The sequence below is a fragment of the Homo sapiens genome, chromosome 1, assembly GCF_000001405.40.
Source record: "Homo sapiens chromosome 1, GRCh38.p14 Primary Assembly".
Taxonomy (NCBI): domain Eukaryota; kingdom Metazoa; phylum Chordata; class Mammalia; order Primates; family Hominidae; genus Homo; species Homo sapiens.
In genome coordinates this window covers 66013198-66040199 of record NC_000001.11, presented here as the reverse complement: position 1 = coordinate 66040199, position 27002 = coordinate 66013198, and the positions used below count along the sequence as shown (strand labels likewise).

Here is a 27002-nt window from a genome sequence, read left to right as displayed (position 1 = left end):
TAAACCATATCAAAAAGCACTCTTTCTGCCAATACAATAGTCGTCCTCATTGAAAAAGTTAAAAGATAAACATAGAATCCTGAGTAACCAGTGTTCAGATGGTGCAACTATCTTCTCTAACAGGAGAATCCATCCTATCCTCCATCATGAAGGTTCCAGTTTGGATGCTAATGGAGGGAGAGGAATGAAGAATCCCGGCTCCTTCCTCTCAATTATCCATTCCTAAAGGGGCAGAATCTGAAACCACAGACTTTTCTCTCAGTTGTCCACCAAAAAGGATCAGAATACATTGTCAGTTATGAATAGCATTAACCATTTATGCCTATATACAACTACATAACAATGAGTACCATAAAGTATACACCAAAATAATAGCCACTGTGAATTGTCTACCAATTATTAAATACTTCACAAGATGTTATTTCTAATCCTGTCTTAAAGTCTGCAAGATAAGAGAAATTATTTACCATTTTCAGATGCAGAAACTGAGGCTCAGTGACTGTATGACATTTCTGAGTCATAGTTAAATTAAGGCAACACGATTTAAATCCATGTTTATCTCGCTTCAGGGTACATATATGTATATACATGGGATTATAGATCAGTGGATAGATAGAAAGATTATAGATATATAGAGACATGAGAGAAAGTAAGAGAGAGAAAGAGAGAAGTAAACAACGTTGTTGGTGAACCTGTTAGAACAGCCACTAAGAATGGGAAAACACAACATATTTTGGTATGTATTATTCTGAAACTGAATAATAATACTGTTAGATAAACCAGTTACCATGAATTCTCTATGTCTTGAAAAGCAGTTAATCTGTCTGCTTTAGGCATGCAATTGATTTCAACAATAAAGGTATTGGCATTTTCCAAATTATGAAGTCTTTTACTTAAAGATACACTAAGAAGAAAAGCAACAAGACAGGCTACCTGTGGAAAATATAAAAAATGCAAATGTTGATTCTCTTCATCTAGGCACTCAGTCAATCAATAACAATATCTAATTGTTATCTATTGTGTGTCCAATATTTTCCAAATTCTGCCTTGTGTATGCTATAAAAAATAAATAACAACTCTCCAAGCCCATGAGAAATTATCAGTTTTATTCAGGTAACAAGAACATAAACAATTCATTGTTTCATAGAGTGTGCACTAAGAGGTAGAAATCAAATTCTGTGGGATTCTGGGGGAGTTGCAATAAAACTCTTCCTGAGAGTATAGGGAAAATTTTTACTGAATAGGACTTCTGAGATACACACAACTGCATTTTGTTTTAAAAAAAATAGGAGTGAAAACATGTCACGAAAACAGAAAACATAGAAGATAATTTTCACGTGGACATTAAGCTATCTCGATTCATGACCTTATTACTCAATGACTGCTTAGATGCAGCTATCTTCCACTTGACCTGGTCTTTCACTCTTAAGCTATTCCAATCGCTCAACAATCTATTGCCACCATTCTTAAAGCAATAGCTTCACCAGTTTCCTCCCTGTTCAAGAGCCTATTTACAAAACAATCACAAGTATCTTTTCCTGTCTTAAGGAAAGCACTAAACTGTGACCCGCTTCCCCACCACAAAATCCTACAACTTCATTTCCTATTTCTACCATCTCAGATATCTTGCAGATATCTTTTTTTCCTCCATATGTTCTACTATTCCCTAGGTACTGAATCCTTCCCCTTGAACTTTAAGAATGCCGAGGGTTGCCAATCTCAAAATAAAACAGAAAGGATGTTCTCTTCACTCCCACTTTAATATTTAATTCAATATCATTTCATCATGGAAATCTCTGATTCTACACTCTGCATAACAAGACCCCCTGCTATGTGGTTCTATGGCTTCGGTTGTCTTCCTGCCAAACACATACATAATCATTAAATTATTGTGTTATTACTCAATGAATGCTTATACAGTTATACTTCATGTTGTCTGTTTTTATTTACCACTGAAATCCCAAAACCTAGTATAATGACTGGCACAAAATAACACTAACTAGACAATTTGTAAAATATATAATTGACTGTCCAACTGACTGAATAAATGAATCCTACCCCCTGCACACATTTTGCTGTAATTATGTCCCATACCAGTATGTACCAATTTTATTCCACCACCTTAATGCCCTCCTATCCTGTACTTATGACCTCATGGAAAACTGTCCCCAATTTTACTCTATACAAATTATGCAAATCTTTCAAATTTCTACAAAAGTTCTATAAAGCCTTTTATTTTCTTAATATCTTCCATTTCTAATTTATCATACAATTTAAACCTAAGTTGAATAAAGATAATAGAGGAAGCTTTAATATATTTTGTTTTATTTTCATTAATATTTTTTGATCCATAATCTTTTATAAAATGATAAAAATATCTTGCATAGCCAATTTTTGCCACAACATAAAATTTTAAAAACATTTTTATTGTTGAAAATGATGCCAATATTCACACCTAACATCATATTTAATGGTAAAAAGCTGAAGACTTTTCCTTTAAGATCAGGAAAAAGACAAGGATGCCCACTCTCATCACTTCTTTTCAACATAGCACTCGAAGTACTAGCCAGAACAATTAGATAAGAGAAAGAAATAAAAGGCATCAAAATAGGAAATGATGAAGTAAAATCATCTTCATTTGCTGACAACATGACCTTATATAAAGAAAATCGTAATGACTCCACCAAAAAAAACTACTAGAACTGAAAAACAAATTCAGTAAAGTTACAGGATACATAAATCAACTTACAAAAATCAGTGGTATGTCTACACACTAACAGCAAAGTGTCTGAAAAAGAAATAAGAAAACAATCCTATTTATAATAGCATCAAAAAATCAAAATATTTAGGACTACATTTAACCAATAAAGTGAAAGATCTCTACACTGAAAACTATAAAACATTGATGACAAATGAAAAGATATCCCATGTTTATAGACTGGAAGAATTAATATTTTTAAAAGGTCCATATTACCCAAAGTGACCTACAGTTTCAATGCAATCCTTATCAAAATCCCAATGTCATTCTTTACAGAAATAGAAAAAACAATTATTTCTTTTTTTTTTTTTTTTTTGAGGCAGAGTCTCACTCTGTCACCCAGTGCAGTGGTGTGATCTTGGCTCACTGCAACCTCCACCTCCCAGGTTCAAGTGATTCTCCTGCCTCAGCCTCCCAAGTAGTTGGGACTACAGGTCACGCCACCATACCCGGCGAACTTTTTGTATTTTTAGTAGAGACGGGGTTTCACCATGTTGGTCAGGCTGGTCTCAAACTCCTGACTTCATGATCTGCCTGTGTTGGCCCCCCAAAGTGTTGGGATTACAGGCATAAGACACCACACTTGGCCCAGAAAAAACAATTATAAAATTTGTACGGAATCATAAAAGACTCCAAATAGCCAAAGCAATGTTGACCAAAAAGGACAAACCTGGAGTCGTCATGCTACAGGATTTCAAAATAATATACAAAGCCACAGTAATCAAAACAGCAAAGCAGCATGATATTGGCGTAAAAACAGACACCTCAACTAATGGTATAGGACAGAGAGCACAGAAATAAACCCACACATCAATAGTCAATTGATTTCTGACAAGGGCACTAGGGACACACAATGAGAAAAAGACAGTCACTTCAATAAATGCTGTTGAGAAAACAGAAGTCCACATACAGAAGAACCAAAATGGACTCTTATCTCACCCCTAATACAAGAATAAACTCACAATGGATTAAGGACTTAAACATAAGACTGGAAACTGTAAAACTACTAAAAAGTACTTAGGGGAGAGTACCCATATTGGTCTGGGCAGAAATTTCTTGGATATGACCCCAAAAGCACAGGCAATAAAAGCAAAAATAGACAAATGGGATTGCATCAAACCAAAAAACTCTGCACAGCAAAGAAAACAATTCAGGGAGTAAAGAGACAACCCACAGATTAGGAGAAAATATTTGCAAATCATATGCTGGATAAGGGGCTAATATCCAAAATATGCAGGGAACTCAAACTACTCAATAACAAGGAAAAAAATAACTTTAAAAATGGGCAAGGAATTTGAATAAACATTTCTCAAAAGAAGACATACAAATGCCCACAGTGCTTAACATCTCTAGTCATTAGTAAAATGCAAATTAAAACCACAATGACATATCACTTCACCCTGTTACGGTGGCTACTATCAAGATGAAAGATAACAAATGTTGTTAAGGATGTGGAAAAAAGGGGAAGACTTTATATTATTGATGCTACTGTAAATTAGTACAGCCACTTTGGAAACTAGCATGGAAGTTCCTCACAAAAGTAAAAATACAATTACCCTATTATCCAGCAATCCCCACTACTGGGTGTACACACAAAGGAATTAAAATTAGTATGCCAAAGAGATGTCTACACTCCCATATTCATTGCAGCAATATTCATTATAGCCAAGATATGGAAATAACTTTTGTCTATAAACTGATGAATAATTTTAAAGTGTGTATATACATATACATATATATACACACACAATGGAATACTTTTCAGCCTTTACAAAAACAGGAAATTCTGTCATTTGCAACAACATGGATGAACCTGGAGGACATTATGTTAAGTGAAATAAGCCACACACAGAGAGACAAACACTGTATAATCTCACTTATATGTGGAAACTAAAAAAGTTAAACTCATAGAAGTAGAGAGGAGAATGGTGGTTACCAGAGGCTGGGAGTTGGGAAGTGAACAGGAAAAGAGGAGATGTTGGTCAATAAGTACAAAGTTATAGTTAGATAGGAGGAATAAGTTCTGGTGTTCCATTGCACAGGAAGATGACTTTAGTTAATAATAATGTAGCAGATATTTCAGAATAGCTAAAAGAGAGGAGTTTAGGTGTTCTCACCACAGAGAAATAACAAATATTTGAGGTAATGGATATGCTAATCACTCTGATTTGATCATTCCACAATCTAAACATGTGTCAAAACATCACATTATACCCCATAAATATACACAATTACTATTTGTCAAAAAATTAATTAAAAAATGGTGCCAGTCTTTAATTAAACTAAAAATTCCTTTTTATTTTTGCCATTGACTCTGGGAAATGATCCAAACTGTATTTAATGAGGGTAAGTAATGGATTGCAGATAAGTACTGAAAGATTAGTATGCAGAGACATCCCTAAGGGACCCAAGTAGGTTGAGAAGCTGCTCTCTAGCAGAGAGAATATTGATACTGGGAGAGCAAGGAGATAAGATGGTAACCTAAAAGGGAAAAGTTTAAACAGTCCCCCATCCTCACCCACACTTCCATCAAGGACTCGGGGAGCAGACAGAAATAACAAAGTTGGACTGGTTCAGAGGCTTTCTGGGAGAAACTGAATGGTAAGATAAAAACTTTATGACCAGAGAGGAAAAAGTCAGGGCAGACAGAGCCAAATAAAGTTAGAAATAAAAAGAACATATGGTCACTTCCATGATTAAGCACATGCAATGTAAGTTCCTAGACATGCTAGGGTTCTGAACAGAAAAGTGAGGTTCATTCAAAGAATGCAAGGAAAACATTAAAGGTTGTGTGTGAGTTCAAAGCACTTACAGGCTGAAGTTTGTGCAGAATTTTTCAATGTCTGTATGCCTTCTCCCCTTTTCTGCCCTTTTAATGTTTGGTATGGATTTTAGATAATGGTTTTTGTAGTTAAGCCAGTTCATGAAACACTGTAGCCTAAAACTAGAGGATCAGGAAACCCAGGAATATTCCATAATGCCATGAATAATTTAAATTTACTGTCTATAACATTAAAATAACAGCTTAAATTAGAACTGATAGTTCTTTTTCTACTTAAATATTCTGACCTAAAGTCCAAAGAAGAAGTGGCTTACATAGCAAAAAACCTCTCCTGTAAAATGTGAAATTTTTAACTTTCAACTACTTGTTATTTAACAGAAACCTAGAGTTGTAAATCTTTATTAAATAGCTGCAGTTAATATTTCAAATATATAATTCAAAATCCATGGCTTGTACAGATAAGAATTAAGGGTATGCAAAATATTAGAGAAAAAGAGAGAGAGAAAGCTCACTCACAAAGAGGGAGAAAGAAATACACAGACTTTGAAAGAGGTAAGGAGGAAGATTAGGAAAACAGAGAATTCATTACAAGAGGCAAAAGAGACATAAAATGGAAAGTCAAAGAAGAACACAAAGATCAAGATTAAGGGAGAGAATTCTGAGAAGACACGTTCAGGATAGGGGTGTGGCTGAGACCTGTATGTGTCACTGGGTTAGTCAAGCTGTCATTCAATGGAGTAGGTGACTCAGAATCATCATACATTGCCTCTATCTCTTTGAAATGCTAATCAACCATAAGTCTAATATTAATAGCTAGTCCAAGAAGCATAAGATAATTTGAATGGAAAGCTTAAAGCAAAATTACAAAAAAGAAAGAAAGAAAGAAAGAAAAGTAAAAGGAGATGTACCTTTAGCCTCTTCTCCTCCTCTCATTTTTTTTTTTTTCAATTTGGTGCTGCTGTCTACTTTTGCTTGACACACTTACCCTTTCTCTGGCTTCTTTCCTGAGTCAGTCTTGCTTGTTTATCTGGCTACTAACACATTCCAAGTAAGATTCTAAGTAAAATTAAAGTGTCTGTATTTCCCAGCAGCATGCATCATTTTTTAAGAAGATACCTTTTAATCTACACAATAAATTGAAGAATAGCATGCACTGGTCCTGGGAGTTAGTAGTGAATAAAGCGCCACCGTCTCAGAACTAGAGCAGAATTCAAAGAAGCCAGTGCCAATATGGCAGGATGAACATGTAGAACCTGAGCCAGGCAACACATGGCAGGGAGTCTATAAGAAGAAAGATGGCTTGGAGGACAGAGAAAGAATGGGAGCATTGTGTTCACTGCTCCATTCTGTTCATATTGTTTTATAGGATGGTTTCTCCCAGACTTCTCACCTGATGCTTTTGCTGAAAAGTTTATTTGGACAGTCTTGAGATTAAAGTGACTTCTAGGGATAGAAGGCACTAAAAAACCCCAAAACCACATACATAAACACATAAAAATAAACATATGGGCCACTAAAATATTTCTTTTTTTCTGTTATTAATTCAAAACAATGGGTGACCAGCCACCATCACACTCACTTTACTTTTTAATATCATAAATAAAACGCGGTGTTTGGCACCAAATAGAAGCAAGGAAGAAGAGAAGGAAGCGAGGGAGAGAAGAAACAAAGCAAAATGGATTGCTTATTAAGAATTAGATAAATGAGGCCGGGCGTGGTGGCTCACGCCTGTAATCCCAGCACTTTGGGAGGCTGAGGCGGGTGGATCACAAGGTCAGAAGATCGAGACCATCCTGGCTGACACGGTGAAACCCCGTCTCCACTAAAAATACAAAAAATTAGCCGGGCGTGGTGGCAGGCGCCTGTAGTCCAGCTGCTCAAGAGGCTGAGGCAGGAGAATGGCTTGAACCTGGGAGGCGGAGCTTGCAGTGAGCTGAGATCGCGCCACTGCACTCCAGCCTGGCTGACAGAGCGAGACTCCTTCTCAAAAAAAAAAAAAAAAAAAATTAGATAAATGATACCATGGCATTAAAAAACTCAGCTGTAGAGACTCTACCCTCAATGGAATAAAGTCTATTTGCACATGGGAAGATTACATTTGCCATCTTGCACTTGTGAAACTATTTTACGTGCACATACTGTCAAAGAAGATTACACATTATCCTAGGGATTTTCACCAGTGCAGCATCTTAGGGGATAAAGTATCCCTTTAAATGTATTATTCAAAATGGATACACTTTATATGTGTCTTTATACAAATCTTAGAGTTGGAAAAAAGCATAAACTATAGCCTCCTAGGATTATAATTTGAAATATTCAGGTCTGTCATCAAGAAAGCAGTCTGTACTCTGAGTAGCATTATCTCTATGGCTTCATCATACTGCCAACATTGTATCACTATAGAATATGTCTCAGAAGAGATTATTAACTGACACAAGTAACAATACATGCCAAATACTTCTTATGCATTATTTCAATCCTCAAAACAGTTTTATGAGGTGGGCATTATTTTCTCCCCACTTATACTGAGGAGGAAACTGATATTAGAGAAGTTCAGCTACCTGCTGTTGGTAACAAGCCTAGTTGATGGTGAGGTTCATGGTTTGAACCCAGATCAGCTCTATCTCAGAACTCAGCCTGAGCTACATCCTAACTGCTTTTCATCTATCTCAGTGTACTTCAAATTCTGTTCAACAGGAGCCCCAACCTTTGAAAGAGCTACCTCTGGGGTCACCGGAGAGGATGGAAAGTTAATTGAGTCATGGAGAAACCTTCCTTCTTATACAAAAGCCAAGCAGCTCCACTTAAACACAGTTTAAAAGTTTGAGTCCAGATCATAATTTAACTAGAAAAAAAATATTTCTATTGTTGACAGGAGAAAAAACTTTGAAAACCACTGATCTAGATTTTCAAAACTTGATTATTTTTCCATGATAATCTTGAATTATTGAAGAGCTGTGAGCACCAGAACCATATGGGGTTCATCAAGAACTAAAGAGTATGGAAAAAACACAATTCTACCTCTGCATTAATAGTAAATGAACCTTAGAGACAGCTGATCAATAATTAAAAATGAAAACAAGTGTTCTTTAATTTACTTGCAGGCTACAGCCCAATTCTGAAATAATAGGGAAAAAACCCAAACCCATGCAGAAAAACACAGAAAAATAAATATATGGGTCACTGAAATATTTCATTTTTTGTAAACTGGATTTTGTATTTTGGTTGTACTGCACCAAATTTTCACCAGTGAGAGCTACCTTTTCTCCTGATTGAGAATCACTTTCCTTCCTTGACCATGTTTCCCTGCTCCCTTCTTCTTTCCATTGCTCTTCTCTATAAAGGAATGAGAGGTGAGAATAAAAAGAAAGAATATTAATTGGGTTTTTATTAATCCACAGAGAAAGGGTGTTTTCCTCTCACCTAAAATTCTCTAATCAATTATTTTAGTCTATTTACTTTAAATACCTGGAAATGTAGTCTTTGGCATTAGAAGTCCAAGGGTTTTTTTGTACAATTTATTTTATTTTTATTAATTTCAACTTTTATTATGGATTAAAGGATATACATGCAGGTTTGCTACATGGGTAAATTGCCTGTGGTTGAGGCTTGTGGTCCCAATGACCCTGTCACCCAGGCAGAAAGCATAATATCCAACAGATGGTTCTTCAGCTCATGCCCTCTTCCCTCCCTCCCTCTTCTAGTGGTCCCCAGGGTCTATCATTCCTGTATTTACTTTCATGAGTATTAAATGCTTAGCCCCCACTTATAAGTGAGAACATGCAGTTTTTGGTTTTCTGTTCTTGCATTAGGTCACTTATGATAATGGTCTCCAGCTGAATCCATGTTGGCTGCAGAGGACATGATTTCATTCTTGTTTAAGGCTGCATCGTATTCCATGTTGTATATGTACCACTTTTCTTTATCCTATCCTCTGCTGATGGGCTCCTAGGTTGATTCCATGTCTTTGCTATTGTGAATAGCACTGCGATGAACATATGGGTGTATATGTCTTTTGATATAATTATTTTTCTTTGGGTATATACCCAGTAGTGGATTGCTGAGTCAAATAGTAGATTGAATAAGGAAGAAAGCAAAAACCTGAACAGAACAATAAAAAGTTCACAAATTGAATCAGTAATTTAAAAAACTACAAAAACTACCAACCAAAAGAAGCCCCAGAACAGATGGCTTCACAGCCAAATTCTACCAGACATGCAAGGAGAACTGATATTAATCCTACCAAAGCCCTTTCAAAAAGTCAAGGAGGAGGGGCTTCTCCCTAACTCATCCTACAAATCCAGCATCTTCCTGATACCAAAATCTGGCAAAGACACACTGAAAAAAGGGAACTTCAGGTCAATATCCCTGATGAACATAGATGCAAAAATCCTCAACAGAATACTAGAAAACCAGGTCCAGCAGCACATCAAAAGGTTTATTCACCACAATCAAGTAGGCTTTATTCCTGGAATGCAAGGTTGGTTCAACATATGCAAATAAATAAATGTGATTCACCCCATAAACAGAATCAAAACCAAAAACCATATGGTCATCCCAATAGATGCAGAAAAAGCCTTCAATAAAATCCAACATCCCTTCATGATAAAAAAAAAAAAAAACCCTCAACAGATTAGGCATTGAAGCAGTCCAGGTTTAAATACCAATTCTGTCACTATGCTTGACTATCCCACTTAATCTGAGATTTCTGAAATTAGACTTCATAATTGTGGTAAGCAACAAAAGGAATATTGCTTGAAAGTACCTTTGTATATCTAGCAAAGATCATTTATTGTTATAATCACTGGGTGAGAAATTTGAAAGTGGTTATTTCAAATTTAAGCATATATAAAATCAAATTCATCCTAAATTCAGTATTTAAAATATTTCATTATTGCATGTCTAGATGTAGGAAGATGAATTCATTATGCTGTAAAGATTACAATTAAGAAGAAACTTTGTCAGTAGTGCTTATTATTATAGTAACATATGACTTATATTTCATATCAAAAAGCAAAAGTAACATTCATACATACTATATATAAATTAATATTGGTATTGTCTATTTTAGCTTAAGAAAAAAGAGTCAATAGACTCTTCATCTTTCATTTTTATCTGAAACATTTTCAATAATGACAAATTGAAAAAGTTTGCTGTAAAATATTTGTAATATAAATCATATTTATCTCAAACTGTTTCAACTCAAACTCTCTTGCATTAAATTACATTCTACCAACTTAGAGCAAGCTTCCTATCTAATCACATACAGATATGGTTTGGCTGTGTCCCCACCCAAATCTCAGCTTGAATTGTATCTCCTAGAATTTCCATGTGTTGTGGGAGGGACTCAGGGAGAGGTAATTGAATCACAGGAGCCGGTCTTACCCATGCTACCCTCGTGATAGTGAATATGTCTCACGAAATCTGATGGGTTTATTAAGGGTTTCTGCTTTTGCTTCTTCCTTATTTTTCTCTTGCCACCACTATGTAAGAAGTGCCTTTCACCTCCCACCATGATTCTGAGGCCTCTGCAGCCATGTGGAACTGTAAGTCTAAATAAACTTTTTTTCCTTCCCAGTCTTGGTTATGTCTTTATAAGCAGTGTGAAAAAGGACTAATACAGTAAATTGGTACCAGTAGAGTGGGGCGTTGCTGAAAAGATATCTGAAAATGTGGAAGTGACTTTGGAACTGGGTAACAGGCAGAGGTTGGAACAGTTTGAAAGGCTCAGAAGAAGACAGGAAAATGTGGGAAAATTTGGAACTTCCTAGAGACTTCTTGAATGGCTTTGCCCAAAATGCTGATAGCAATATGGACAATAAAATTCAGGCTGAGGTGGTCTCAGATGGAGATGAGGAACTTGTTGGGAACTGGAGCAAAGGTGACTCTTGTTATGTTTTAACAAAAAGACTGGTGGCATTTTGCCCCTCCCCTAGAGATTTGTGGAACTTTGAACCTAAAAAGGATGATTTAGGGTATCTGATGGAAGAAATTTCTAAGGCAGCAAACTGTTCAAGAGGTGACTTTGGTGTTGTTAAAGGCATTCAATTTTATAAGGGAAGCAGAGCATAAAAGTTTGGAAAATTTGCAGCCTGACTATGCAATAGAAAAGAAAAACCCATTTTCTGGGGAGAAATTCAAGCTGGCTGCAGAAATTTGCATAAGTAGCAAGGAGTCTAATGTTAATCCCCAAAACCATGGAGAAAATGTCTCCAGGCCACATCAGAGACCTTCACAGCAGCCCCTCCCATCACAGGCCTTGAGGCTTAGGAAGAAAAGGTGGTTTTGTGGACTAGGCCCAGGTTCCCTATGCTGTGTGTAGCCTAGGTACTTGGTGCCCTGTGTCCCAGCCACTCCAGCCTTGGCTGAAAGGAGCCAACAAACAGCTCAGGCTGTGGCTTCAGAGGGTGGAATCCCCAAGCTTTGGCAACTTCCACTTGATGTTGAGCCCAGAGATGCACAGAATTCAAGAACTGAGGTTTGTGAACCTCCGCCTAGATTTCAGAAGATGTATGAAAATGCACGCATGCCCAGGCAAAAGTTTGCTGCAGAGGCGGCACCCTCATGGAGAACCTCTGCTAGGGCAATGCAGAAGGGAAATGTGGGGTTGGAGCCCCCACACAGAGTCCCTACTGGGGCACTGTCTAGTGGAGCTGTGAGAAGAGGGCCACCATCCTCCAGACACTAGAATGGTAGATCCACCGATAGCTTGCACCATGTGCCTGGAAAAGTCGCAGATACTCAACACCCACCTGTGAAAGCAGCCAGGAGGGAGGGCTGTACCCTGCAAAGTCACAGGGGTGAAGCTGCCCAAGACCATGGGAACCCACCCCTTGCATCAGTGTGACCTGGATGTGAGACATAAAGTCAGGGATCGTTTTGGAGCTTTAAAATTTGACTGCCCCGTTGGATTTTGGACTTGCATGGGCCCCATAACCCCTTTGTTTTGGCCAATCTCTCCCATTTGGAATGGCTATATTTACCCAATGCCTGTACCTCCATTGTATCTAGGAAGTAACTAGCTTGCTTTTGATTTTACAGGCTCATAGGTGGAAGGGACTTGCCTTGTCTCAGGTGAGACTTTGGACTGTGGATTTTTGGGTTAATGCTGTCACGAGTTAAGACTTCAGGGGATTGTTGGGAAGGCATGTTTGGTTTTGAAATGTGAGGACATGAGATTTGGTGGGGCCAGGCACAGAATGATATGGTTTGGCTGTGTCTGAATCCAAATCTCAATTTGAATTGTATGTCCCAGAATTTCCACATGTTGTGGGAGGGACCCAGGGGGAGGTAATTGACTCATGGGGGCCAGTCTTTCCCGTGCTACTCTTGTGATAGGGAATAAGTTTCACAAAATCTGATGGGTTTATCGGGGGTTTCTGCTTTTGCTTCTTCCTCATTTTTCTCTTGTTGCTGCCATGTAAGAAGTGCCTTTTTCCTCCAGCCATGATTCTGAGGCCTCTGCAGCCATGTGGTAAGTCCAGTTAAACCTCTTCTCCTTCCCAGTCTCAGATATGTCTTTATCAGCAGCATGAAACAGATTAATACACATATTTTTAGATTTTAGTAGATTATAATATTAAAAAGTAAAATACATTAAAGCTAACAGGTAAAACAAAGGCCAAGAATTTGAATATGCACTTTCACAGTAACACTGGCACAAACTAATAGGATTATTCAAAACAAATCTTAGTTTGCAGCTGTTAAGAAAAACGTAAGTTTACTGAGCCATGTATTGTAGAATAGTCCTTTGCAGGCATATGTTACAACATTGCAAGGTGACGCACACACCCTCCCTCAGGACGCCATAATTGGTTGGTTTGTTGAGGTGAAGAACACGCATTTGTGTTATGAGGATATACTTTCATCTATTTTGTTTTGTGACCAAAGTCTGAAATAAAGCTTACAGAAATTGAAGTGGAGTCTGGCAATGAGAATAACAGTTAATATTTAGTGAGCACACACTATATACCAGGCACATTGCTGAGTGCTTTATATGAATATCAATAATAGCAACCACATAGTAGTTATTATGTGCTAGTCCTCAGAACTTTTATATATTAACCTGTGGTATTCTCACAACAAACCCATAAATTAAGTGTTATTATTACCTCATTTTACAAATCAGACAACAAAACATAGAGATTAAATGCTTCTGTCCTGTTACCATAGGTAGCAGAACAGGGACATATACCCAAAGAATCTGACTTCAAGCCTGAGAGCTTAATCCCGAAGCTATGCTGCCATGATACAGCCTCACCTAATTAGGGCCAGATGGGGATAATAGAGGACATGAGGCACAATGTTAGCTAGACATAGAAAGGGACCATTGACATGAAAAGTCTAGTATAAGTTTTATTCTGAGTGAGACTAACCATTTACCCAAGATCCAAAGCCAGGGTGGGTCAAAGCTGAAAGTGTAGGCATGAGTCCTGACCATGCCTTCTACTGTAATAGGATGTGAACCTCTTGAGGAAACACTGTCATTCATGCTTCAAGGGCATTTCCTAGGTTTGTAAAAGTGAAAAACTGAACTTGTATGTACAGTTTCATTTATAAAGCAATATTGCCCAAATGTTGCAGATATTTACATTTTTATTTGAAGTTGTAAGTCTAAGGATCAAGAAAACAATAAAACATGTAACTGACCAGAAAAATAATTATATTATTAAAGGTTTGTATTCTGAGACATATACATTTGATGAGATTCTTCAAAATTGAAACTAAAAACTAAATTATGAAAATGGACTTGCCATCTTAAGTTTGACACTTAATACTCTAACATTTTTCAGAGCTCACAACTAAACTTAAAGCACAAACCTTTGTGGTTGTTAGCAGTCCTAAATTTTTACTGTACCTAAGTACATGGGATAATTTGCTTGCTGGATATTGCAGAGAATCAAAATAACTTGGTAAACAATTAGTCATGAAATGGGGAACAGGGGTTAAGTTTAAAGTTGGGGGCCTGGGACACCCAGAGAATGGTGACACCATACACAGAATTAGGAAACTCACATGGAAACATTAGTCTGGGAAGAAATTATGAGTTCAGTCTCAAGCTAAACCTGTGGTGTGGTAATCCAAACTGGCATAGCAGACAATAGGTAAGAAGAGTATGAAGTCATTATTTTCTTTCTTTTATTTTCTATTTCATACATTTTGCCTCTGCATCATTGTGTTACTGGAAAATATTTATTTTTAATGAGATCCCAGATTTATACTCTATGAGTTATTCCAACTGGGTTATTAGGCTTGTAAAGAGATAAGGAATTTAGCTTACTTGACAGTTTCAAACTTCTCCTTTTTATCCATCTTTATAGTGTTTTACTTCTATAGTACTTTTATATTGAAAGTACAAAGCTTTCATATAAATTGTTTTTCATAAATTACTTCTATCACTTCTTTCCTTGAAGTACTCTGTTTCTTAATATTGTCTCAAAGCCTATTTTTTGAAAAACTTGGTGAGTTCTAATATGTTCTTAAGCCAAATCTTAAATGCTACCATATTGTGATCACTTGACTCCAGTTAGGAAAACAACTAAGATGTAATGGACAACTAAAATGCTGGTTTTCTAGAAAGGCAGTATATTTAAATAATTAACAAAGCTATAAATCATACTTGTGGGTTATATAGGGCACTGTATAAACTATTAAAATATATAGCTATATATACTTATGTTAAATCTTTAAAAACATCTATTTAGTTCATATACATAATACTTTAGTTAAGTAATTCATATTTATAATTTGAAAATAAATATATAAATATTGTATTTGCCTCTTTTTTACACTGATAGGCTATGAAATAAAATACATCACCATTCTAGAGGATATTAGGATATTAAAATGCTCATTCCACATCCTTCACTTACCAAGGAATACACCAACTTTACCTATATATCAAGAGTTTACCATTATTTAATGGTGAAAAAGATTCATCTATCCATCTATTTACTGATCCAAAAAAATGTATTAAGAATCTGCCTTCTCATAGAAGACAGTATTATATCCATGTTTATCAAGTTATCATTTGTAGGGCTCAGAAAATTCCTTGCATATATTATATGACCTGTACATTTTGTTGAATAAACGTATGAATTGACACAGTTGGTGTAGCTTCTTTGGAAAGAAACTGGAAAAATCTATTTAAAGTCATAGGGACAAATTCTAGTTTAATGCAATACCTTTCTAAGTGTTGGTCAACAGCAGAATGGCTTCCTTGGGGGTAGCAAGCTTTCCATATCTGAAAATGTTCAGACAGAACCTAGTAATCACAGAAGTGATGCAAGTTGGATGGCTATCTGATTGAGTAAGGGGTAAATGAGATGATCTCTGAAGCACTTCCAACTCTAAGGTATAGTGATGCTAGATTAATATTTTTTAGAGATATTCTGAAAATAACTTGGTAAGAGACCTACTGAATACTATCAAAAATAGTGTTTATCTATTATTTGCACCCATTATTGATTGTTTTTCTATCCTCTAGGACTTTTTGTAAGTATAAGCAACTCTACTTCACATTAATGGAGGATACTTGTATGGACAGTCTCTCAGAATGGAGAACACCAAAGTCAAGAGGCTGGCTGGAATATGAAAAGTAGTGGGTAGGCAGCACAAAAGGTAAAAAATAAACCGCCTGAAACAATTCACATTATTAATTATCAAAATATGTATAACTGAGATCAGTATGTAGTATTTTTTTTCTTTTTCTTTCTGAGGCTGTTTTCCTGAGTTCAACTCTCCACTTGAGACACATATAGTAATGAAGTACTAATATAAGAAACAAAATAATAACTGAAATCAAGAGTGCCCTAAATAACCCTACCCAACACAGATCCTTTATTCCTAAGGCTTTATCTCCTAAACATTATTATTAAGTTTACACTATATCTTATTACTCTTTTTACTACATAAATGGTAGTTGATCTAATGTTGGTTTCTGCTTTCATGGTTCTTTTCTCCCTCAGGTGGATTATAGGCTAATTAAAAATAAAAATTTTGCCTTGTAATTTTCTTCAATTGAAATCAATAGAATGTTGTTAACCATTTCCTTCACCTGGAATTCCCTCTTCCACCTGAATGCTTTCATTACTATAGGGCCTGCTATTGCATGGAGCTTTTCACTTGTTCCATAGCCCTCAGAAACAACTTCCTTCTCTGAACTCTTACTGTGTTTATTGTCTCTGCCACTAATTGGATCTGAGCATATGCTACCTTGTTCTTGGCAATACTTCTTTTGTCTGTGCCAAAAAATGCTCTTTCCCCTGGAGACAAAGTGTGCCAACATTGTGAACTGATAAGCCTATCTATCCTCCTTAGTGCATAGGAAACTTTGAGGAACCCAAAAATATTGCCTAAGATCTGGTGTGAAGGCCAAAAGGTTTTAACAGAATGTAGATAATGTCCGAGTACCACACAGCCTAACACAGCAAATTGAAGTACAGCTGCATTAACTACCTTTTAGATCCACCAGGATGACAGAGCTTATAAAGTATGCCTAAAGCTAAGACAACAAAAAGCCTCAGTAGCACCTTAACAAATCAAAGATAGAGGCTATTGGGAGCTCTCCAAGGTACCAACAGATTGTCACCATTTACAATCCCCACACAATCAATGGTAAGAGTCCAAGACTAAACCAGGAAGAAGTTGAATCCCTGAATAGACCAATAACAGGTTCTGAAATTGAGGCAATAATTAATAGCCTACCAAGAAAAAAAGTCCAGGACCAGACAGATTCACAGCCGAAATCCACCAGAGGTACAAAGAGGAACTGGTACCATTCCTTCTGAAATTATTCCAATCAATAGAAAAAGAGGGAATCCTCCCTAATTCATTTTATGAGGCCAGCATCATCCTGATACCAAAGCCTGGCAGAGACACAACAAAAAAAAGAGAATTTTAGATCAATATCCCTGATGAACATCGATGCAAAAATCCTCAATAAAATACTGGCAAACCGAATCCAGCAGCACATCAAAAAGCTTATCCACCAAAATCAAGTTGGTTTCATCCCTGGGATGCAAGGCTAGTTCAGCATATGCAAATCAATAAACGTAATCCAGCATATAAATAGAATCAAAGACAAAAACCACATGATTATCACAATAGATGCAGAAAGGGCCTTCAACAAAATTCAACAGCCCTACAAGCTAAAAACTCCAAATAAATTAGGTACTGATGGCATATATCTCAAAATAATAAAAGCCATTTATGACAAACCCACAGCCAATATCATGCTGAATGGGCACAAACTGGAAGCATTCCCTTTAAAAACTGGCACAAGACAGGGATGCCCTCTCTCACCACTCCTATTCAACAGTGTTGGAAGTTCTGGCCAGGGCAATCAGGCAAGAGAAAGAAATACAGGGTATTCAATTAGGAAAAGAGGAAGTCAAATTGTCCCTGTTTGCAGATGACATGATTGTATATTTAGAAAACCCCATCGTCTCAGCCCAAAATCTCCTTAAGCTGATAAGCAACTTCAGCAAAGTCTCATGATACAAAATCAATGTGCAAAAATCACAAGCATTCCTATACACCAATAACAGACAGAGAGCCAAATCACGAGTGAACTCCCACTCACAATTGCTTCAAAGACAATAAAATATCTAGGAATACAACTTACAAGGGATGTGAAGGACCTCTTCAAGGAGAACTACTAACCACTGCTCAACAAAATAAAAGAGGACAGAAACAAATGGAAAAACATTCCATGCTCATGGATAGGAAGTATCAATACTGTGAAAATAGCCATATTGCCCAAGGTAATTTATAGATTCAATGCCATCCCCATCAAGCTACCAATGACTTTCTTCACAGAATTGGAAAAAACTACTTTAAAGTTCATATGGAACCAAAAAAGAGCCCGCATTGCCAAGACAATCCTAAGCCAAAAGAACAAAGCTGGAGGCATCACGCTACCTGACTTCAAACTATACTACAAGGCTACAATAACCAAAATAGCATGGTACTGGTACCAAAACAGAGATATAGATCAATGGAACAGAACAGAGCCCTCAGAAATAATACCTCTACAACCATCTGATCTTTGACAAACCTGACAAAAACAAGAAATGGGGAAAGGATTCCCTATTTAATAAATGGTGCTGGGAAAACTGCCTAGCGATATATAGAAAGCTGAAACTGGATCCCTTCCTTATATCTTATACAAAAATTAATTCAAGATGGATTAAAGACTTGAATGTTAGACCTAAAGCCATAAAAATCCTAGAAGAAAACCTAGGCAATACCATTCAGGACATAGGCATGGGCAAGGACTTCATGACTAAAACACCAAAAGCAATGGCAACAAAAGCCAAAATTGACAAACGGGATCTAATTAAACTAAAGAGCATCTGCACAGCCAAAGAAACTACCATCAGAGTGAACAGGCAACTTATTGAATGGGAGAAAGTTTTTGCAATCTACTCATCTGACAAAGGGCTAATATCCAGAATCTACAATGAACTTAAACAAATTTACAAGAAAAAATCAAACAACCCCATCAAAAAGTGGGCAAAGGATATAAACAGACAATTCTCAAAAGAAGACATTTATGCAGCCAACAGACACATGAAAAAATGCTCAACATCACTGGCCATCAGAGAAATGCAAATCAAAACCACAATGAGATACCATCTCACACCAGTTAGAATGGCAATCATTAAAAAGTCAGGAAACAACAGGTGCTGGAGAGGATGTGGAGGAGTAGGAACGCTTTTACACTGTTGGTGAGACTGTAAACTAGTTCAACCATTGTGGAAGACAGTATGGCGATTCCTCAAGGATCTAGAACTAGAAATACCATTTGACCCAGCCATCCCGTTACTGGGCATATACCCAAAGGATTATAAATCATGCTGCTATAAAGACACATGCACACTTATGTTTATTGTGGCACTATTCACAATAGCAAAGACTTGGAACCAACCCAAATGTCCATCAATGATAGACTGGATTAAGAAAATGTGGCACATATACACCATGGAATACTATGCAGCCATAAAAAAGGATGAGTTCATCTCCTTTGTAGGGACATGGATGAAGCTGGAAACCATCATTCTCAGCAAACTATCACAAGGACAGAAAACCAAACACCACATGTTCTGACTCATAGGTGGGAATTGAACAATGAGAACACTTGGACACAGGTTGGGGAACATCACACACCAGGGCCTGTCCATGGGGTGGGGGGAGGGAGGAGGGATAGCATTAGGAGATATACCTAATATAAATGACGAGTTATCGGGTGCAGCACACCAACATGGCACATGTATACATATGTAACAAACCTGCACGTTGTGCACATGTACCGTAGAGCTTAAAGTATATTAAAAAAAAAAGAGTTCAAAGTGTTCTTTAAGTAATGCTATATACCAGGAATCCTACCTTCCTAACGTTCACTATTTTTATGCCAGACACCTGCCTTAATCAGAATCCTACTGTACCTGACCTGTTCTTATACCAGGCCTAGCTACACTGTTGACCAGCAACAGAATTTCCTGGACAAATTTCAAATAGGCATTATAAAAATATAGATGTCTACTTTCCTCAACAGTAATGCAAACTTTTGAAAGAAAAATTGTGCCTATATGTATCAATATATGCTTGTCGATAGTAACTATTTTTCTTTGACTTCTATGTACACAGTCTCATACAGGTCTCTGTCATGAGTAACCACCCAGTGAATTCTTGTTGACTGGCAGACCTAAACGAAGAATCCAAGCCTGAGGCTTGAATGATGTCTACAAATGAACAAGAGATGTACATTTAGTTCCTGTAGCTCTCTGAGAGTATTGTCTACTCAACTAGTTCCTCAAACTGGATCTGAACAGATTTCCAGATCAGATTTGGGTTAGCACTATAAAGTGTGATTAAACAACAAAAGAATATTGTTAGATGATATTAAAATCTAATCCTTTCTGTTTCTGGCTGCAAGGGAACTCTTATGGAATACCGGTGTGAAATGACTGGGCAAAGAATGTGAGCTATTAAAAATAATTTTCTAGTCTGGGCACGGTGGCTCATGCCTGTAATCCCAGCACTTTGGGAGGTCAAGGGGGCGGATCACAAGGTCAGGAGATCAAGACCATCCTGCCCAACATGGTGAAACCCTGTCTTTGCTAAAAATACAAAAATGAGCCAGGCATTTCAATGCACACCTGTAGTCCCAGCTACTCAGGAGGCAGAGGCAGATGAATTGCTTGAACCTGGGAGGCAGAGGCTGCAGCAAACCAAGATCACATCACTGCACTCCAGCCTGGGTGACAGAGCAAGACTCCATCTCAAAAAAAAAAAAAAAAAGAATAACAATAATAATAATTTTCTAAATAATATTTGCTAGAACATTCCATCAATTTGCATGGGACATTTAAATAGCTCTATGTGAACTATCGACTTGTTCTAAAAATTGCTTTTTAAATAAATTAAGCTTCAGTTCCTTAATTGATTATTTGTAGGTGAAAAGAAGCACCAATATCTTTTGTTATTATTGCAATAATATAAAAATAAAATATGCAGCAGACTACTGGCCCCAGGCACTGCCACTGAAAGTTTTCATCAGTATTAACCAGGTCATTAAAACTATATGTCATCATATCAGGATGAATTTAAATGTGAAAACGGTAAGTAAGAACTCTATCCATTTATTTAAGTGCATAATTAACCCAAAAGCAGCAAAAAGTAAGATATAAGGTATTTCATTCTATAGGTAGTTTTATCATTATAAAATATAAAATTATGGTAGTTATTATATCTTGTAGTACTTTATCCTCAGGTCAGAGTCTGTATCACAGAACCTTTTAATTATTATAATACACACGTATTATCTGCCTTAACACATTCTTTAGATCACATTCTTTGCACATAGAGGATAATGGTTGGATAAATATATAAAAGGCATACGCCACTAACTTAAGATTGTATCCATAGACATTCTTATAAAATGGTGTTATTTTCAGTCTGATAATGCTACTTGTTTCCAAATCCTACCCTTAAATTGAATTATTTGAAGAATCATTTAAGCTGTTAATTGTCACTGCCAGTTTCTAGGTGCTCAGATATTTTGATATAAGATATTAAAATATTAACCTCATATTGGAATTGTCCTTTGATATTTCTGTTGTATCTACACAAAGCACATTAAAATACTTAATCTTAAAATTTATTCAAGCAGAATCTACTGTATTATAAAAGTCAAAACCACATACTCTTTTTTTATTTTATTTTGTTTATTTTTTGTGAGACAGAGTCTCACCCTGTCGCCCAGGCTGGAGTGCAGTGGCACGATCTCGGCTCACTGCAAGCTCCGCCTCCTGGGTTCACGCCGTTCTCCTACCTCAGCCTCCCGACTAGCTGGGACTACAGGCGCCCGCCACCACCATGCCCGGCTAATTTTTTGTATTTTTGGTAGAGACGGGGTTTCACGGTGTTAGCCAAGATGGTCTCGACCTCCTGACCTCGTGATCCGCCCGCATTGGCCTCCCTAAGTGCTGGGATTACAGGTGTGAGCCACCGTGCCCGGCCTAAAACCACATACTCTTTAGATGGAAACGTCTGTCTTCCTTTTGCTGAAACAGTTAAATACATCCTGTTACAAGAGTAACACTAAAAGAAAAAACTAACTTCTACCTCTAAAACTCTATGATCCGTGCAGAGCTATATAAAATATAGCCAGTTACCCAGGTGTCAATCTGTAAGTGGTTTCAAAATGTAACTGAAATAAATGGTGCCAGTTAATTCCAATTTCCACATACAACTCAGTAAATAATTGGTGAGGTATAAATTGTTCTTGGAAAGCACCCTTGAATATATATATATATATTTTTTAAAAATCTCACTAATACTGGATTATCATCATTAAGATTTCTGTATCTCACAAATAGTTGTAGTCAGGGAATAATCACTAGTTGCTCTCAGCTGAGTTTCTAATCTCAAGACATGCATGGCATAGGGACTTATTCCAGGAATAAATGACTTGTTTTATTTAAAAATATTCTGGTTCCCAAAATCACAAATGAAGCTATTAAAGCAAGAAAATCTGTAGACATGTGGGAAACATTTTGCTTTTTCTACAATATTTACCAACCTAGAACTAAGAAAGTTGAATTAGCAAGAAAATGTGATCCTATATGCAATTTTGACTCAAAACCAGTTGTCTACCACCACCACTGAATACATGCAGAATAAATTGAAAGGCTACTGGCTTATAGAAATGCTAAATAAACCCTGACTGTCATAACTACATGTTATATTTTGGCCTTTTATCTAGGTAGCTTTTTTAATTTTTAAACACATCAATATTGAACAAATTATAGGCTAGGTCTACTGGATATGATCCTCTTCTTCCAATCTCATTTTATTATCTCATTAATTGATATATAAATTGATAGGGAAATTCAGCAAACATTTACTAAAGGCCTTATATATATGCAGCAGAATGAGAGATACTGGTTACACAAATACAATAAATTCTCTGCTCTCAAATGTTTGCTCTAATATTCAACAGTCTGAAAGAAGACATCAAGTATGTAAATCCAAAAAAAGGCAAAGAATTGCTTATATAGGCACAATCAAAATTCCAGAGAACTACCCTCCAGCCCTCCTGTTCCAACCTAATGCTCCCTATTCTAGCCTAGTTCTGCTCCTTATCCCACCCACACTCTGTTGTTTTCTCTGCAAGAATGGCCAAAGAGCCCATACTCTTCTCCTTCAGTAGGTGCCCTACATATTCTTCTCCCTTAGAAAACCCATCCCTAAACACCTCCTCCAACACAAGTCTGACTTGGCGTTGAAAGCAAGCTGCATCCTTTTGCTCCTTATCCACTTATGGCTGACTCAAAAGCAAGCATTGAAGCCCTTTTGGTTATAAGTGCTCAACTCTTAGAAAATTAGAAGATAAATACATAAACTATAAGAAGTTTGGGAAACCTACAAAGTTGATGATTATGATTATTTTTTCTTATGATATTTTGCATTTCTTATCTCTCATATATTGCATCTCTTAGCTAAGACATTTCCTTATCTTTCACACTTTTTAGATGTTCCTTGCATTTTTCCTCTCACTGACTGGATTACACTTGATATCATGGTTGACAATTGTAACTAAATTATTATTTGTACAATTTTTATCTCTAATATATACTCTTCCTTAAACTGAAGAAGGTTACATTGAAGAGGATGATGTGGATGTTAAAGTTTGACAGCTGAATAATGGTGTCAAAGATAATCCAGGCAGCAAGAAAGAAGTATGTGCCGTAGCAGAAAAGTAGTATGTGGAATACAGTAGGCACTTGATATATATTTATCAAACAAATGATGAGTTAATGAATGAACTCAAACTTCACCTTTTCTTTTAAATTCTCTCTAACCTTTGAGACTGAATTAATGAGTCTCTTCCTGTGCTTCTGTAAAACCACCACAACAATAATAGCTAAGTTACTGAGTGGTTATTACGTCTCAGGTGCTGCTTTAAAGGTATTAACTCACTTAATCCTCACAACAACTCCATGAAGTAACTGCAATAAATATCTCATTTTAGAGATGGAGATACTCAGACACAGAGAGGTTTAATAACTTTCCCAAGGTCACATAGTCAATAATTAGAAGAGTTCTATCCAACTATCCAATCCATAAATGCACACTACGAGCTCCTAAACATAAGCATTTTGTCTTATGCATCTCAATTTCTCCAATGCCTAGCCCTATAATGGTGCCTAGAATATAGAAAATTATTAGCAGTTTTTGAAAAGTGAATAAATAAATACTTAAACAGTAATTGATAACGTGAACCAACCATGCAATACAAAACCAATGCTTTACACACCTGCCAACTTCAGGTGTCCAAGGTTGAGAGAATCTCCCCTTATACCAGGAGAAGTTCTAATCAAACACCCCCCACCTTTTCCTCTGGAAAAAGAAATATTAATTTGATTTCAGCAGTTGCATCATACTTCTGTTATCCTCAGTAACTCAGAGCATCAGCCTCACTGGCCTTATTTCTATTTCTTGAACATGCCAAGTTTATTCCTACCTTAAGATCTTTGCACTTTAATTTTCTGTTTTTTTTTTCTTGTGGAAATACTCTTCTTCCAAATGTTCTCATGGCTTGAGGCTTTTAGCCAGTCAGGTCTCAGCTCAAGCATGACCTCTGCAACGAAGTTTCCCTGACCATAAACACCCAATATAAAATTACTTTGGGCTGAAGTCGTGTACTCCAGCTCAGTTCAGCAGAGAGCCAAGCTCTGGAATTTTAAACACAAGCCTGGGTGTTATAAATTAACTATTTATTATAAAGTAATTAATTTCATGTTTATATTGTCAATTGGGCATCTTTCTCCTGTAAGTAGCTCAGAAGTAGGAGGAGCAGCTAGGCCAAAACAATCTCTAGGCATTTCTGTAATCCTTGATTATTGTATAGTCTAATAGGACTCCAATTCTTATGATCAATCCTACAATTATTTACTTGTTTTCTTACAGAAAAGAGAAAATGAATGCATAAATGGACAAAATTATGGTGAAAGAAAGTGAGAAGAACAGTCTTAAAGGCAAAAGTTAAGCTCAAAATAGCATTCTGTTGTTAAAACCTAACTGGATGTATATGAAATTCAGGTATCTTTAAAAAACCAACTACCAAGTAGTCAATAATTGGACACTTAGGTAGTCACCTGTGCAATGATCATCAAGCCCTCAAATGGCAAAAAAAGGAGATTCCCCAATTTTCCAGTCCTACAACATAACCTGTACTTCCCTATACTCTAGGCCAGGGTTCCTCAACCTCAGCACTACTGACATTTGAAGCCAGATACTTCTTTGCTTTAGGGAGCTGTTTATTGCAGGGTATTTAGCAACATTCGTAACCTCTACTCACTAGATTCCAGTAACAACTGCTACCCCCACTCCCACCCCAAGATGTGACAACCAAAAATGTCCCCACCTACTGCTAAATGTTCTCGCCAGGAGAAAAGAGCCCCCAGTTGAGAACTTTAGTCGTGATTCTTTCTAAATCTATTATGGTTTGGACCAAAGTATGAGAGGAACTCCAGGTTTATAGCTATGTGGTCTGAGTTTCCCTTAAATCTGTATGGTTTTTTTCTTTAACAAATGGTGTTGGGAGAGCTGGGTACCAACAAAACATACTGCAAAAGATACTGGATACTGCAAAAGAAAGCAGTTGGACTCTAATCTTACACGATATGCAAAAATCAACTCAAAATGGATCAAAAACCTAAACACAAGACCCAAACTATAAAACTTCTATAAGGAAACATAGGGGAAAAGGTTCATGACACTAGATTTGATAATGATTTTTTGGCTATGACACCAGAAAGCATAGGCAAAAAAGTGAAAGTAGATAAATTAGGCTACATAAAAATGTAAAAATTCTGTGCATCAGAGAACACAAGAGTATAGTGAAAAGCCAGTCCACAGAAGGGAGACAATATTTGCAAATCATATATCTGACAATGGGCTAATACCTAGAATATATAAAGAATTCCTACAACTCAACAACAACACAGCAAGCCAATTTTAAAATGTACAAAGGACTTAAACAGACATTTTCCAGAGAAGATACTAAATGGCCAATAATCACGTGAAAAGCTGCTCAACATCACGAATCATTAGGAAAATACAAATCAAAGCCAAGATGATGTGCCATCTAACACCCATTAGGATAACTTCTATCAGAAAAAAATAACAGAAAATAATAAATATTGGTCAGAATGTGGAGAAAGTGAACTTTTATGCACTGTTGGTGGGAATGTCAAATGATACAGTCATTATGGAGAACCGTATGGGAAATAAATTAAAAATAGAATTATCATATGACTCAGCACTTCCATTTCTGGGTATATACCCCAAAGAAATAAAAGTAGAGTCTCAAAGAGATATTTTTACATCCATGTTCATAACAGCATTATTCACAATAGCCAAAAGGTGGAAGCAACCTAAATTTCCATAGGTGGATGAGTTATTTTTTTTTTAAAAAGTGGTGGTTTCTGAGAGCTTAGAGGGAAGAAAAACCGAGGAGTGGTTGCTTAAGTGGTATAGACTTTTAGTTTTGAAAGATGAAAAGAGTTCTGGAGGCTGGTTGCACAAGAATGTGAATTACGTAACACTACTGAACTGTACACCTAGAAATAGCGAAGATGGTAAATTTTGGGTTGTGTTTCACCACACTTAAATTTAAAAAAACTGTATCAGTAAAGAACAATTAGTGAAATGAAGATAGTTCTTCCAGATTTGAAAATGTAGAATCCAAAGCATCATCTTAGAAGTATCTGGGCCTTAAATATAGGTTATCCTTGGATAACGGGATCCATTGACACTTCTGAATGAAAAACTGCCTGTCCACTGGCTACCATTATGATTCACCTTTGGTTCTGCCTTTTTTTCAAATGATGGCAAAATCAGTTATCATTTCACTCACTCTTAATTAAATCCTAAGGTAAAAAAACATTCACT

General features: G+C 36.6%; 1 protein-coding gene across 5 annotated transcripts in view; it reads right to left on the bottom strand.

Annotated features, from left to right (window-relative positions):
• The window catches only part of PDE4B (phosphodiesterase 4B), a 582070-nt gene that overhangs the window by 334380 nt on the left and 220688 nt on the right, over nucleotides 1-27002 (bottom strand). The window lies entirely within an intron of this gene.